The sequence below is a fragment of the Homo sapiens genome, chromosome 2 (assembly GCF_000001405.40).
Source record: "Homo sapiens chromosome 2, GRCh38.p14 Primary Assembly".
NCBI lineage: Eukaryota > Metazoa > Chordata > Mammalia > Primates > Hominidae > Homo > Homo sapiens.
The window spans coordinates 225,508,257-225,525,552 of NC_000002.12; the positions used below are offsets into that span (position 1 = coordinate 225,508,257).

The 17,296-nt window shown below is 37.9% G+C and overlaps 1 protein-coding gene across 4 annotated transcripts in view; it reads left to right on the top strand.

Annotated features, from left to right (window-relative positions):
- The window catches only part of NYAP2 (neuronal tyrosine-phosphorylated phosphoinositide-3-kinase adaptor 2), a 305,716-nt gene that overhangs the window by 110,318 nt on the left and 178,102 nt on the right, over nucleotides 1-17,296 (top strand). For all 4 annotated transcript variants that reach the window (XM_047445201.1, NM_001371273.1, XM_047445200.1 and 1 more), the window contains one exon: nucleotides 5,115-5,416. In XM_047445201.1, coding sequence (XP_047301157.1) covers nucleotides 5,115-5,416 — 302 coding nt within the window. The remainder of the gene's footprint in view (nucleotides 1-5,114; nucleotides 5,417-17,296) is intronic.

Sequence of the window (17,296 nt, forward strand, 5' to 3'; positions counted from 1 at the left end):
CCACATAACTTTCACTTCCAGCCAAATATTCCTATAGTGAAGTTAGCTTCTAACTCCTCAAGCCTCATTTAAATGCTCAGTCTGAAGCAGGAGAATGACCTATTTTCACAGGCATTCCTTATTTCTGGGGTCTTCCATTTGTCGTGATGCCTTCTCTTTCCCTGCTTCTTTGGTTTCTGAATGCCGGAGGAATTGTTCCCAAGTATGTCAGTTCAGGTCTCCCAGGAAGCAGACACCATGACAGAGTTAGAAGTCTGGGAGGTTTATTGGGAAGAATGCCTGTGAGAGATAAAGAAGGAGGAAGCAGAAGAGGTAGGACAAGTCTGAGATCACAATGCAGGTCTAGCACCTGTAGAAGGAGAGGGGGAGGAAAAGCAATTGAATAGGAAGATCATCAGACTGTGATGCAGTGATGAGAAGGAAGGTCTTGACCAGTGCAACAGGGAAAGCCAGCCATAAAGGTTGCCTGAATCTGGGAAGAAGTAATCAGGTGTAATACCTCATTGTGCTCATCCATTGTCTAGGAGCTGCCCATGGACAACATAGCCTCAACTAAAATGCTGCACCAGATTTGGAAGACGGCAGCTGGCAGCTGACTGCTATCCTCAGAGGAGGTTCTCTGTTGAGGGACTTCTGAGCCACACACCTCCATGGCTGCCACAGTTCACTCCCTAGACTCAGCTGATGTCCTTCTCCTGCAGGCTTTGGGAACAGTTCTCTCCTAGCTCTCTTCTGGCTCTTCTTGAGGGGAAACTTGGAAGGGTGCAGTTAGTGAGATAAACTATAGCCCTCATCACCGCAGTTTGTATGGGAGCTACGACTGGTTCTCGTCATCTCCCTCCTCCATCATTCATCCTAAATTCACCCCACCTTCAGGAAACACTTCCACTTGTCTCAGTGGCTTACTTGGTGGAGAGACTAATCTCTCATTCGTGAGAAGTTGGAGTCCTTAGTAACCATAACCTTTCTGGGCCAGGGTTGCTGCGTATGACCTTTCAAAGTCACATTTGGCCAAGACAGTATCAAGAGGCACCCAAGTGGATAACCTTGGTTTCACACATACTTCTCTCTGCCCCATTGCATAAAATCAGCCTTACCTCCTGCTGACCAGGATCAGGGATATCTTCCACAATGGCAATGACACTTCTGTTTTGTTTGTTTCTTTGTTTTAGAGCTAGGGTCTTTCTTTGTTGCCCAGGCTGGAGTGGTGCAGTGGCATGATCATAGCCCACTGCAGCCCTGAACTCCTGGGCTCAAGCAAACCTCCCACCTCAGTCTCCAGAGTGTCTGGGAAACAGGTGCACACCACCATGATCAGCTTCTTGTTGCCCGTTACCCACTACACAAGGGGTGTTCAAATTGCTGAAGGGGCAGCTATAAGTTGTTGTTCAATGGGACACTTCCTGTGTCTTCTAGAAAGAGTGTGCCTCTTTGGGGACCTGGACCTTTTAACTCTGTAGAGTCCAGAGTTATAGGGATCGGAAACATAAAGTGCTCAATGGTTCATTGTTGTCTCGTCAATTAACTTCATTCCTCATGGCAAGTGCTCTCTTAAGAGATCTCAGTTGCATACCATCACAGCTGCCAGGTATTTGATCTCCTACCTGTACAAGGAATATGCATCCCCATATATTGCCATATGACTTGCAGTATTTATTGGAGGAGAATAAGTCCCCAGGCCACTGACCTCAAGCTTGACCATAAGATTGGTTTTAGTCAGTGGAGAGTGATGGAAAGATTATAAGCCACATCTGAGCAGAAGCCAGGAGAGACATATAAGTTAGTTGGTGTTTTTCCTTCTCTGCCAGGAGAAAAAGTCCCAATGGGGCTACATCCTGGGGTGAAGAATATATGTGAAACAGAGCCACAGTTGATGTGCATTCATACAAGCAAGAAACAAACCTATATCATTAAAAAACATTAGGGATTGGGGATTGTTTGTTACTGCAGGATAACCTAATAAGATTTGGCTAATAGGTTGTATGTTTTCTCATTCGTGATATTTTGCTTAGTATTTACCTCTTCCTGATTGCTTCTAATTGATATATCTACTCATTAATGGCCCTAACTATTGTTCTTAATATTTCTGGGGGGGTTCTGGATTAGCTACATCAGAAACATCTGGATATAGTTTTAAAAACACAAATTCATCTTCTACACCCACAGAGATTCTGATTCAACAGGTATGATTCAATCATTGCCCTTCATATGGAGTCTGGGAATCTGTATATTTAAAAAACTCCACATGTTCCTAGCAAATTCAGAAACTAGTTGTATGCTGCATTTCACAATCTTCAATTTGTTTTGGGCTAATAACCTTTCTGGGTCTCTTGAACCTAGATGTGCCATCACCTTTACTGTTTGTCCCTAGCCTTGACTTGAACAATGGTCTTCGCATCCAAATTTGTTTTTGTCCTATTTCTTCATCTTGTATTTACAGCCTGGTCAAACTAAACTTGCAGTGGTACCTGCTAGTGCTTGAAGCATGCATTGAATTTCTCTTGAAAGAAATGTTAATGTGTTTGTGTGTGTGTGTGTGTGTGTGTGTGTAAAAGGCATATATGAACCAAAGCAGATAGAGTTAGATTAAGTTGTTGTATGCTGTTAAAAAAGATAATTCTGAAATGAAGCAGACTAAATTGTCAGTCCGGGAAAAAGTTCAGGCTCCATTTAGGTCAAAAGTAACTGAGAAATTGCTGATAGAATTATTTTTAGTAACTCATAAATGCCCATGTGCATTAACACATGCATAAATTTCCCCAGCTGGCTGTGTTACCAGAAATGGGATGACTGGCTAAATAAATCCTTAAAGCACCTTTTGTGCTGTGATGAAACAGAAATGAACAAAAGACATTAGGATGAAAAATAATTGAAAGCAAAGTTAGATTACATCAAGTATATCATCTATGAGAAAGATCAAAACCACAACCATCACAAACTGAAGACAGACCTTCCTATACCAAGACTGCCCCTCACGTCCACTATCCCATCCTTTCTCATATTCTTCATTTTTCACAAACCACTCTGTTTGGATAAGCTTCTAATGTATGTCTTAATTGCCGTTCTTTAAAACACACACACACACACACACACACACACACACACACACACACACACAGAGAGAGAGAGAGAGAGAGGATAAAACACATAAAAACACTGCACTGACTTAGGATACTTTCGGCTATGATGTCAACACTGCCCCTTAGCCATCACTTGGACTCCATTCATGCTTCTGGATACTGTTGATTTTTAGTGCACTGAAATTCCAGCCACCTTTATTGCAAAGATGGTACTCCGTGCTTAGTGTCTGAGTATCAGTTGAAAATATTCAGAAAAAAATACATATAAAATATTTTGGGTTGAGTGGCAAGTTATCATTGGTGTTAAAGGTCAGAATCAAGAATCTAATGTTCTTGTTAAATTCTTCTTGTCTGTATCCCCAAAGGACATGTAATTGTCATAAGTCCCCAGTTGAAGGAGGAAAAGAAAATCTCATTTTTCATTATTGTTCCTACTGGAATGTTAAAATCATAACAAACATTGTAACGATATGAAAGATATAAAATTCCATCATATTATGAAGGCAGAGCCAGCCAAAATTAGTTTTACTAAATGAAGATCTGAATAAACTTACATGTCTGGGAAGGTAGACTCAGCAAGCTTCCAAACTTCATATACTCAGAGGTACTTCTTACCATTCAAACATATCTAAGAAAATTAGTCAAAAATTTTGTAATGGTATTTTTAAAAAATTGTGTTTACTCTTGGTGAATGAACTTCATAGATAAAAAGAAACTCTAGAAAAATCTTCCTTTTAAAAGTTTACATTCACATTTGTGTCCCTTCTTTTCATAAAGGAGTCACTATTACTTAATAGCATAGACAGAGGCCCAAGAGTCATTTCCTAAATAATTGCTTGAGTTCCAAAATTAGAGGGGATTTCTTATATTTTAATATTTTTGTTCAAACTTTCCTATGTAAAACTTAAGAACCTTAAATTTGGAAACTTTGCATACACTGAATATTTATGAAGTATTAGAATCATCTCAGGATCAAACGATATTTAAGCTGCACTTCTTTACTCAATGTTGCTGTTTTATTTTGTGTGTCTGATTTCTTAGTAGGACTGTTTCTAATGTAACTGAAGATTCTGGAGGATTGAGAGTGGTTGGCAATACCTTCACCAATTTAAGCAAATATTTTCTCCTCCCTCCCTCCTTTCTTCCTCCTTCCTTCCTCCTTCCCTCCCTGCCTTTCCTCCTTTCTTCTTCTCTTCTCTTTTTCCTTCCCTCCTTCCTTCCTTCTTCCCTCCTTCCTTTCCTTTCCTGCCTTCCCCTTTCCTTTCCCTTCCTCTCCTTTGCTTTTTACTTTTTCTCCTTCCTTCCTTCCTCCCTCCCTTCCTCCCATCTTTCTTTGCTTGTCTTGCTTTGCTTGTCTTGCTTTGCTTTTTCTTTTTTCTTTTCTTTCTTTCTCTTCCTTCCTTTTTTCGTTTTTCTTTCTTCTTTCTTTCTCTTTTTCTCTTTTTCCCTCTTTCCCTCCCTCCCTCTCTTTCTTTTCTTTCTTTCTCTCTCTCTCTCTCTCTTTCTTTCTTTCTTTCTTCCTTCCTTCCTTCCTTCCTTCCTTCCTTCCTTCCTTCCTTCCTTTCCTTTCCTTTCTTTTTCTTTCTTTCTTTCGTAACAGAACATTTATTATTGTTTTTTGTTTCATTTTCTCCAATATATTAAGCAGATAAAAGCAGGAATGGTTTTGATGAAGTGGACAAGAGTCTCAAGTGCTGACCACTAGGACTGAATTGCACGTCAAAATGAATCTGAGTCATAGTCATGGAATTCTTGTTTACATTTTAAGCCACTGATAAGATTTACCTAAAGTAAATATAAAGTGATTGAAGATAAGTGTTCTATGCAGTATTTTTTCTTTCCTTTGGGGAAAACAAAATTTAACACAAAAGTTAGAATGCTTTCATGCTACTTGAGTTTGTTTTAAAAGGCAGCATTTCACCGGACTAAAATGAAGATTTGAAATTTTCCCTATTAGTAATATTCTCACATGTATGATCTTGTATATCCTGGCTCCTTTTGTCTTCATGGTTTTTGGTCTGCTTTCTTTTACAGCATAGGTGGAGAAGTAGGGCGAGGCCACGAAGGAAGTTACGTGGGCAAACATTTCCGCATGGGATTCATGACAATGCCTGCTCCTCAGGACAGACTTCCCCATCCTTGCTCCAGTGGCTTTTCTGTGAGATCACAGTCCCTGCACTCGGTTGGGGGCACAGACGATGACAGCAGCTGTGGCTCACGGAGACAACCACCACCCAAACCCAAGAGGGACCCCAGCACCAAGCTGAGCACCTCATCAGAGACAGTCAGCAGCACTGCAGCCAGTAAGAGCGGGAAAACCCCTGAGAGGACTGAAGGTAAAACACGCCATGTCCATGTCACCTAGAAATCTCTTTCAGATAGTATGTTCAGGTCAGCATGCCCAGGGGCAAGTGCCTTCTTCACTGGGCCACATAATCCTGCCTCTCACCCTGAAGTCCCAGAAAAGAAGAATTGAGGGGAAGGTTATTTATTGATGTGTTGTCAAATTTCCAGAAGAATGTATTTCTGATAGTTCAGAAAGGGTAGGCAATATATGAGTTTTTTAATCCTTTAAAGCTTCAAATTATTCAAAAATTATTCTGCCCAGAAATATATCTAAAAGTTATATTTTCTTATACTATTTATACAATTAAAGGTATTATTATTTGATTATCAAGGGGACATTTTAATTCAGGAAAATATCAAGAAAAAGCTTATAATCATTTTTAATGTTTTGGTGAATTTCCTTCCAATGAATATGAATTTATGTATTTATGTGTGTATGTGTGTGCATACTATAATCTTAAACTCTCCTTAATATCTCCAATTTTTACCTTTATCTGCCTGTGTTTTTTCTCAGCTATGAAACATACAAGTCAAATATATCCCAGCCTCCTTGCTGGTCTATGAATATAAATTAGGTCATATTAACACTAGATCTCACCAGCTCTTTAGGCCTTACTGAATTTAGTAGAGTCTCAGCTTCCCTGAGTTACTCCTGAGAATTCCATGGTGGGAAAGTAGCCTTAAGTGTGCCTTGACACAAGCTATCTTGGTCATTTGGGGCTGCTATAACAAAACACCATAGCCTGGGTGGCATATAAGCAACAGCAATTTATTTCTCACAGTTCTGGAGGCTGGAAGCCTGAGAGCTCTGTTGGGGCCCACTTCCTGGTTGCAGACTGCCGACTTCTCCTTGTATCCTCAAAGGGCAGAAAGGCCTCCCTGGCCTCTTCGTAGGAGGATGCTAATCCTATTCCTGAAAGCACTGCTCTCCTTCCCTTTCTACCTCCACATACAATCATTATGGGATTAAGTTTTCAACATTCTAATTTGGGGAGCACAAACATTCAGCTCATTGCACAGGCACATTGAGATCTTTACATAGCAAATGTGGAAAACACTTCAAGGTTCCCAATGCTGCCAGTGACCAGTTTGAGAGAGGCGTTCCACCAGGTCCCATAGCTTCTCTTCTGCCCCACTCTCCTTTCTCCACAGCAAGCTTCTCTGAGCTCTAGGGTACCAAGTATATTTGCCGCAGAGAGCCACATGGTCCTTTCTTCAACTAGGCAGTGTTCATTGTGACATGGGCTCCCTAGTCCCTCATGAAAGCCCCTTGGCCTTCTGGCCTAATCTTTCCACAGATTCTCATAGGCAGTCCATGAGATCAGATGCCTATGAGGTATGTGCCATCTCTCCCATCATCTTTGTCTCTCCTTCCTCTCTCATTGGTGTTCAGGTGCCTTTAGCCAAAAACAACCAATATCTTCAATACCAATAAATGCCTGGAGATAGAGTCAGTCCATAAATTCTACAAAAAAACTCCTGTGGCTTCAGTTTTTCCTGCTATACATATGCAAAAAATGCCTTGCATGTAAGTATATGTGGTTAAGACACACAAATGAATAATATGTATGTGTTTGCATATTTGCAAAATTGACATCATAGTGTATAGTCTTGTGTTTTGTATTTTCACTTCTTCTATTGTAACTAATTTCCATGGTGTGCAATTTGTCAAGAAACAACTTTAACAGAGAGAAGTGTACAGCCAAGTAATTAATCATTATCTTGTTGATGAATACTCAGATTGATTGTTTTGCAGCTACAATGAATAGTGCTACAATGAACATTCATGTGTGTGTGTGTGTGTGTGTGTATAACTGTTATTCCTCTGCCCTCTTAGAGTATTAGACATTTGATTCTTTTTCTCATGATTCAGAGTTATCAGTAAGTCCTTCAACTTATAACACATTTTTTTAAGAAACAATGTATTAATAGGTGTTTAGTTAACCCAGTAGTATACTAAAAGGCCCCAGAGGCCTACCATTTGTAAATTTTAAATGTGGTTCATAGGTTTCCTTGATACATGGTGCTTTTCATTTCTCTTTATTTTCTGTGATTCTCTGTGCAGAAGTCACCACTGTCCTACTTCTACTGCCAGAAAACTACCTAATAAATTATGTTAGATTGTTTTCAAAAGAAAATTACTGATTTAAGAAAGTGATCACTGAAAGATGGGGGGCCTGAATGCAGTCAGGAATAATTCAAGAATAAAGGGGAATAAAAGAACCACCCAAAGAGAGAAGAGAGATGAGAAGGACAAAGAAAGTAGCCCATAAGGGATGTGTTATCAATGCCTTGTTGGCAGAAACATTTCTAGAAAGCGTGTAAAATACACTCAGAATACCTCAGAATACCTCAGAAAAGCCGCCTTCGTGGAGGGGGAGCTGGGCTACTTAGAGTGAAAGTATGGAGAAAATCGTGATTACTGTCCCACAGAAGAAAAATTTGAGTGGCCATTCACTTGTCTTAAAAATAGAAGGGATTCCCATTCATTTGGGATGTTTCATCGCTAGTTCCTGGGGCAGAGAGTATCATAATTCTCTCTCAGATGCCTTCACCATCTAAGGATAGTGGGCTCCCAATGGCTACTTGTCAAGCAGAATGCAGCAGTTCAACAAGCTTTATTTCTTCTGAAGACAAAGTAGCAAATGTGGTTGAACTGTAGCAGCAAAGACTTGTTAGACTTGGAAAAAATACTTGATAGGTAGTGAGCTCATTAAACACCAACTCCAAATCCAGCATTTCTCCTCAAAAAGGAGCTCTGAGGGTGTTCAGTGGGCTACATAAGTTGTCGGGACCCAGTGCAGAAATGGTAGACTCCCATAGAGAAGTGATTCTTCATGGGAATTTTACTTTCCCTTTTTTTTTTCTCTTCAGAACACTTAATAAAACAGCAATTGCAAAAGCAGATATATGCAAATCTCTTCTACCAAGTTATGACCTCAATGATAATAGCATAAAGACAGGGCTCAATTCAGGGATAGGAGAAAACTCTTGAGTCCAAATGCATGTGTATATATATGTGTACTCAGAGCCAAAATTATTAATATATCAATATGTAGATTGTTCTTTTATGAACTCTCAGTTCTTTATAATTGTGCTATAACTGGAGTTCATTACAGAGCATATGTTTTCTTTATAATTTTTCTAGCTATCAACAGTATAACAAACATAAAAAATAACTTTTATAAATCTTAGCCTGTCTTTTCTTTTTACATTAAATGCCAGAAAAATCAAAATATTGATTCAGTGGCATTAGAATGATTGCCATGGTAACAGGCTTCTATTTAAGTAAGGGATTATGACTTCCCTGTGGATAAAAGTAAAAAGAACTGGACTCTACAAAATGGCTTTTCAGAGTAGAAAAAAATAAAACTGTTGAGCACAAACAAAAAAAAATCACATACCAAAAAAGTATAATTTAGTGTTTAAAAATTGTAACTCTGTTACATTAAAAATATATGTTTACTGTTCTATTTTCAGATTATCTACAACAGAAACACCTTTAAAAATTTATATAGTGGTGAGCATAAACTGGCAATCAGTATACTATAAATATTTTAATTACCCCTTTTTATTGCTTCAGTGTGGTTCCTGCTTATTTTGAGGAAAGATTAGATGATCTAAAGGGGGTTAAGTAGAAAGAGTGAGAGGCCCTATGAGCTGTGTCTCATGTGTGATCCAGCAAAAGGAGGGAGTGTGCACCCTCACATTGGTCATCCCCATTCCTCAGGTAAACACATAGCCGATTCCTCAATAATGTCATTGTTAGAAATGCTGTCTAGTTTAGGCAAAAGAGACTGTACTTAGGATCAACAGGCAAACATTGACTTTAGGCAAGTGATCCAATGGGACTGTTTCTTTACCTTTAAAGTGATTGTGAATAACGGAAAAAATGATCAGATCCTGCATCCCTCACAGCTTTATGACAACCTGGTGAACTAATGCCAATGATTGTGCATGGTACAAAGAAGGTGCCGTACAAATAGAGCTGAATACCTTATTGAATCACCACTTCTAATAGGCCTGAATAACATGAAATTTTGGTCTGGTATAGCACATATATTAAAAACAAAGAGGAAAAGAAAAGATATGCACACCCACTTTGCATGTTAGAGCCTTAATTTCACACCTAGCTATTGCCAAAACATGAAAGATAAGCACTAGAGAGGATGTGGGGAAAAGACAGCCCTTATACACTATTGATAGACATTAAGATAGCCATTAAGGAATAGTGAACAGAGCAAAAATTTAAAATAGAACTACCATGTGATCCAGCAATCCCACTACTGGATACACTTCCAAGGAAACCAGTATGTTGAAGAGACATCTTTACTCTCATGTTTATTACAGCAATCTTCACAATAGCCAAGATATGGAATCAACCTCAGTGCCCCTTAACAGATGAATAGATAAAGAAAATGTCATTCATACACATACACACACAAACACACACACACATACACACACATACATACAATAGAATACTATTCAGTCATAAAAAGGAATAAAATCCTGACATTTTTGGCAACATGGATGGGCCTGGAAGACATTATGTAAAATGAAATTAGCTAAGCACAGAAAGACAGATACTGCTTGATCTTACATGTAAAGTGTAAAAAAGTTAATCCTGTAGAAGTAAAGAGTAGCCTGGTGATCACCAGGGGCTAGGGCAGGAGTGGGTGAAAGTATTGGTCAAAGGATACAGAATTTCAGTTGGAAGGAATAAATTCAAAACATCTACGGTACATCATGGTAACTATACTTAATAACAACATATTGTATTGAGCATCCTTAAGAGACTTTGAGTTCTCATTACAAAAAAAAACAGTATGTGAGCTAATATATATATATATATATATATATATATATATATATATATATATATATTAGCGTGTGCGCTTATATATATATATATATATATATTAGCTTGTGAGCTTATATATATATATATAAATAAATTAGCTCAATTTAGCCTTTCTACAATGTATACATATTTCAAAATAACATATTATACATGGCAAATATACACAATTTTTGCCAATTAAAAATAAATAGGCCAGGCATGGTGGCTTACACCTATAATCCCAGCACTTTAGGAGGCCTAGACAGGTGGATTATTGGAGGTCAGGAGTTCGAGAGTAGCCTGGCCAACAAGGTGAAACCCCATCGGTCTAAAAATATAAAAACTAGCCAGGCATGTGGGCGGGAGCCTGTAATCCCAGCTACTCAGAAAGCTGAGGCAGGAGAATTGCTTGAACCCAGGAGGCAGAGATTGCAGTGAGCTGAGACTGTGCTACTGAATCGAAGCCTGGGCGACTGAGTGAGACTCTGTATCAAAAATAAATAAAATGAAAATAAGGAAAAGGAGCAAAAAGAATTGCACAATGGCCCAAATAAACAGAAAAATATTCCTCAGTTGTAATAATCTTTTAACAATATTATGGCATTAAGAAATATTCCCCAGGCAAAATAACCTTTTAATAATATTGTAATATTAATAAGTATTCCCAAGGCATAATCTTTTAATAATATGATATTAACATAGTATTTAGTATAAAGAATATTTTATTTTTTTATTTTTTATTTTTTATTTTATTTTATTATTATACTTTAAGTTTTAGGGTACATGCGCACAATGTGCAGGTTAGTTACATATGTATACATGTGCCATGCTGGTGTGCTGCACCCATTAACTCATCATTTAGCATTAGGTATATCTCCTAAAGCTGTCCCTCCCCCTCCCCCCACCCCACAACAGTCCCCAGAGTGTGATGTTCCCCTTCCTGTGTCCATGTGTTCTCATTGTTCAGTTCCCACCTATGAGTGAGAATATGCAGTGTTTGGTTTTTTGTTCTTGCGATAGTTTACTGAGAATGATGATTTCCAGCTTCATCCATGTCCCTACAAAGGACATGAACTCATCATTTTTTATGGCTGCATAGTATTCCGTGGTGTATATGTGCCACATTTTCTTAATCCAGTCTATCATTGTTGGACATTTGCGCTGGTTCCAAGTCTTTGCTATTATGAATAGTGCTGCAATAAACATACATGTGCATGTGTCTTTATAGCAGCATGATTTATAATCCTTTGGGTATATACCCAGTAATGGGATGGCTGGGTCAAATGGTATTTCTAGTTTTAGATCCCTGAGGAATCGCCACACTGACTTCCACAAGGGTTGAACTAGTTTACACTCCCACCAACAGTGTAAAAGTGTTCCTATTTCTCCACATCCTCTCCAGCACCTGTTGTTTCCTGACTTTTTAATGATTGCCATTCTAACTGGTGTGAGATGGTATCTCATTGTGGTTTTGATTTGCATTTCTCTGATGGCCAGTGATGGTGAGCATTTTTTCATGTGTTTTTCAGTTACATAAATGTCTTCTTTTGAGAAGTGTCTGTTCATGTCCTTCGCCCACTTTTTGATGGGGTTGTTTGTTTATTTCTTGTAAATTTGTTTGAGTTCATCGTAGATTCTGGATATTAGCCTTTTGTCAGATGAGTAGGTTGCAAAAATTTTCTCCCATTTTGTAGGTTGCCTGTTCACTCTGATGGTAGTTTCTTTTGCTGTGCAGAAGCTCTTTAGTTTAATTAGATCCCATTTGTCAATTTTGGCTTTTGTTGCCACTGCTTTTGGTGTTTTAGACATGAAGTCCTTGCCCATGCCTATGTCCTGAATGGTAATGCCTAGGTTTTCTTCTAGGGTTTTTATGGTTTTAGGTCTAACATTTAAGTCTTTAATCCATCTTGAATTGATTTTTGTATAAGGTGTAAGGAAGGGATCCAGTTTCAGCTTTCTACATATGGCTAGCCAGTTTTCCTGGCACCATTTATTAAATAGGGAATCCTTTCCCCATTGCTTGTTTTTCTCAGGTTTGTCAAAGATCAGATAGTTGTAGATGTGTGGTGTTATTTCTGAGGGCTCTGTTCTGTTCCATTGATCTATATTTCTGTTTTGGTACCAGTACCATGCTGTTTTGGTTACTGTAGCCTTGTAGTATAGTTTGAAATCAGGTAGCGTGATGCCTCCAGCTTTGTTCTTTTGGCTTAGGATTGACTTGGCGATGCCGGCTCTTTTTTGGTTCCATATGAACTTTAAAGTAGTTTTTTCCAATTCTGTGAAGAAAGTCATTGGTAGCTTGATGGGGATAGTATTGAATCTATAAATTACCTTGGGCAGTATGGCCATTTTCATGGTATTGATTCTTCCTACCCATGAGCATGGAATGTTCTTCCATTTGTTTGTATCCTCTTTTATTTCATTGAGCAGTGGTTTGTAGTTCTCCTTGAAGAGGTCCTTCACATCCCTTGTAAGTTGGATTCCTAGGTATTTTATTCTCTTTGAAGCAATTGTGAATGGGAGTTCACTCATGATTTGGCTCTCTGTTTGTCTGTTCTTGGTGTATAAGAATGCTTGTGATTTTTGTACATTGATTTTGTATCCTGAGACTTTGCTGAAGTTGCTTATCAGCTTAAGGAGATTTTGGGCTGAGACAATGAGGTTTTCTAGATATACAATCATGTCATCTGCAAACAGGGACAATTTGACTTCCTCTTTTCCTAATTGAATACCCTTTATTTCCTTCTTCTGCCTAATTGCCCTGGCCAGAACTTCCAACACTATGTTGAATAGGAGTGCTGAGAGAGGGCATCCCTGTCTTGTGCCAGTTTTCAAAGGGAATGCTTCCAGTTTTTGCCCATTCAGTATGATATTGGCTGTGGGTTTGTCATAGATAGCTCTTATTATTTTGAGATACATCCCATCAATACCTAATTTATTGAGAGTTTTTAGCATGAAGGGTTGTTGAATTTTGTCGAAGGCCTTTTCTGCATCTATTGAGATAATCATGTGGTTTTTGTCTTTGGTTCTGTTTATATGCTGGATTACACTTATTGATTTGCGTATATTGAACCAGCCTTGCATCCCAGGGATGAAGCCCACTTGATCATGGTGGATAAGCTTTTTGATGTGCTGCTGGATTCGGTTTGCCAGTATTTTATTGAGGATTTTTGCATCAATGTTCATCAAGGATATTGGTCTAAAATTCTCTTTTTTGGTTGTGTCTCTGCTTGGCTTTGGTATCAGGATGATGCTAACCTCATAAAATGAGTTACGGAGGATTCCCTCTTTTTCTATTGATTGGAATAATTTCGGAAGGAATGGTACCAGTTCCTCCTTGTACCTCTGGTAGAATTCGGCTGTGAATCCATCTGGTCCTGGACTCTTTTTTGTTGGTAAGCTATTGATTATTGCCACAATTTCAGAGCCTGTTATTGGTCTATTCAGAGATTCAAATTCTTCCTGGTTTAGTCTTGGGAGGGTGTATGTGTCGAGGAATTTATCCATTTCTTCCAGATTTTCTAGTTTATTTGCATAGAGGTGTTTGTAGTATTCTCTGATGGTAGTTTGTATTTCTGTGGGATCAGTGGTGATATCCCCTTTATCATTTTTTATTGCATCTATTTGATTCTTCTCTCTTTTCTTCTTTATTAGTCTTGCTTTATTAACCTTTAATTATCTCTACATTTTCAAGTGTTTACAAGAACCAGCTAAGTATTCCTACCTTCCATTTGTTATGAACTCTTCCTCAAGTTATTTTCAAACTTCTTTATTATATAATTTCATGACTGTCTCTTTACAAAGCCATCAAGAAATACTTTTGATTGGGATAGTTCTCCTGATTTCTGATTTTGTTTTAGACATGTTTAGTAAAGTCATGTCTTTGGAAGCAAAAATTGGGATACCTGCTACAATATTTGCAATCATGGTTGTTGTTACAATCTTGGAATGTGTGGTTGAGCCAGAACCAAGTGAAGCTGAAGTTTGTTATAAGTCACTGCCTTAAAAATAGACACAAAACCTCTTTTTAAGAATTACCCAAAAAAGTAATTTAGAGCCTTTAATAATGTCATTTCTCATGCCTCCATTTATTCAGAAAATACTTTGAGTATCTACCCTGTTGTACTGGGATCCAGCTCCAGCAACAGAGAGAACACAAATGGTCCTTTCTTTCTTGTTGCTTACAAACAGTTTTGGTTCTACTTCACCAGCATAGCCTGTTTTACTCTATCCAGGTCATAGAGCCAGCAATGAGTTAAAGGAACAATTTCTAGAAACCAGAAAATCTGGCATGACAAACACGTGCCTTTCTTTCATGTAATCGGGTGTTTATCTAGAGAATAAATGGTTTAACACATTTTAATACTGTGCTTTTTCCTATAAAGAATATCTGTTGATTATGGCTGTTTGGTGTTGACCAACTTAAAGAAGCCAGAATTAGATTTTCTTCCAGTGTAAAATTTTAGAAACAACCTGGAGACAGTTGAAGAAAAAGGAGTGGAAACAAATTGAGTGTGTTCATCTTGGGGAACTTACAGGTTTCCCAGATTAGAATCCTAGTTTGAGGACTTAAGTCAGCACCAGTCAGGGCCAGCCACATATTTGATTTTGCTTTCTCAGTTCCTAGTGCAGATCTGTGACACTTATAAGTGGCCATAACGTTTTTTAAAAGACTATTCCTGGAAGTCCTCACAAGAGCAGTCAGGTAAGAAATAAATAAAAGGCATCCAAATTGGAAAAGAGGAAGTCAAATTATCCCTGTTCACTGATGATTTGATCTCGTATCTAGAAAAACCTAAAGATACCACCAAAAAAAAAAACCTCCCTATATTTGATAAATGAATTCAGTAAAGTACCACGATAGGAAATCAACATTCAGACATCAATAAAATTTTATATGTATATATATCTAGCTGAGGACCAATTCAAAAAGTCAATCCCATTTATAATAGCTATAAAAATATCTAGGAATATATTTCACCAAGGTAGTGAAACATCTCTATAAGGACAACTACAAAATACTGATGAAAGAAATCATAGATGACACAAATGGAAAAACATCCATGTTTATGGACTAGAAGAATCAGTATGATTAAAATGACCATATTGTCCAAAGCAATCTAGAGATTTGACACAATCCCTATCAAATTACCAATGTCATTTTTCATATAATGAGTAAAACCAATCCTAAAATTCACATGAAACCAAAAAAACAAGGCCTGAATAGCCAAAGCAATCCTTAAAAGGAACAAAACTGGGGAGATCACATTATCTGACTTTATACTGCAAGGATACTGCAACCAAAACAGCATGGTACTGGTATAAAAGTAAACATATAGGTCAATGGAAGGGAATAGAGAACCCAGAAATAAAGCCACCTACCTATAACTAACTGATCTTTGACAAAGTTAACAAAAATGTACACTGAGGATAGAACACTCTATTTAATGCTTCTGGGAAAATTGGATAGCCATATGCAAAAGAATGAAGCTTGTATTAGTCAGGATTCTCCAGAGGGACAGAACTGATAGGATAGATGCATATATGATGGGGAGTTTATTAAGGAGTATTGACTCACATGATCACAAGGTGAAGTCCCACAATAGGCCATCCACAAGCTGAGGTTCAAGGAAGCTAGTTTGACTTCCAAAACCTCAAAAGTAGGGAAGCCAAAAGTGCAGCCTTCAGTCTGTGGCTGAAGGCCCTGGCAAACCACTGGTGTAAGTCAAAGAGTCTAAAAGTGGAAGAACTTGGAGTCTGATGTTCAAGAGCAGAAAGCATCTAACATGGGAGAAAGATGAAGGTTGGAAGACTCAGCAAGTCAAGTCCTTCCACATTCTTCTACCTGCTTTTATTCTAGCCATACTGGCAGCTGATTTGATGGTGCCTATCAAGATTGAGGGTGAGTCTGCCTTTCCCAGTCCACTGACTCAAATGTTAATCTCTTTTGGCAACACCCTCACAGACACACCCAGGAACAATGTTTTGCATCCTTCAGCCCAATCGAATTGACACTCAGTATTAACCATCACAAAGCTGGATCCATACCTCTCAGCATATACAAAAATCAACTCAAGAAGGATTAAAGATCCAAATATAAGACCTGAAGCTATACAAGTCCTAGGAGAAAATTTAGCAAAAATGCCTCTGGACATTGGTCTAGGCAAAGAATTTGACCATGTCCTCAAAAGCAAACACAACAAAAACAAAACTAGACAAATGGGACTTAAACTAAAAAGCTTTTACACAGCAAAAGAAACAATTAACAGAGTAAACAGAGAAACTGTAGAAAAAACATTTGCAAGCTATGCATCTGAAAAAGGCTTAATATCCAGAATCTATAAGAAACTCAAACAACTAAAGGAAAAAATGAGTAACCCCATACAAAGTAGGCAAAGGACATATATAGATACTTTTCAAGAGAAGACATACAAGCAGCCAATAAACATATGAAAAAAATGTTCAACATCACCAATCATCACAGAAATCCAAATTGAAACCACAGTATGATGTCATCTTATGCTAGTTAGAATGGCTATTATTAAAAAGTTAAAAAATGGATGTTGGCAAAGATGCAAAGAAAAGGGAACATTATACACTGTCAGTTGGAATATGTATTAGTACAACCTTTATGGAAAATTGTATGGGCATTTCTTAAAGAAGTAAAACTAGAACTGCCGTTTGATGCTGCAATCTCACTACTAGGTATATACCCAAAGGGAAAGAAACCATTTCATCAAATGTTTTCTTTTGTTTTAATACATTAAATTTGTGGTAGTTCATTACACACTTGTATGTTTATCGCAGCGCTATTCACAATAACAAAGATATGGAATCAACCTAAGTGTCCATCAATGGAGGATTGAATAAAGAAAATGCAGCATACACATACAAATGGATCATAGAATACTACATAGCCATAACAATGAATGAAATGTCTTTTCTATCAGATTAGATGGAACTGGAAGTCATCCTAAGTGAAATAACTCAGAAACAGGAAGTCATATACCTCATGTTCTCACTTATA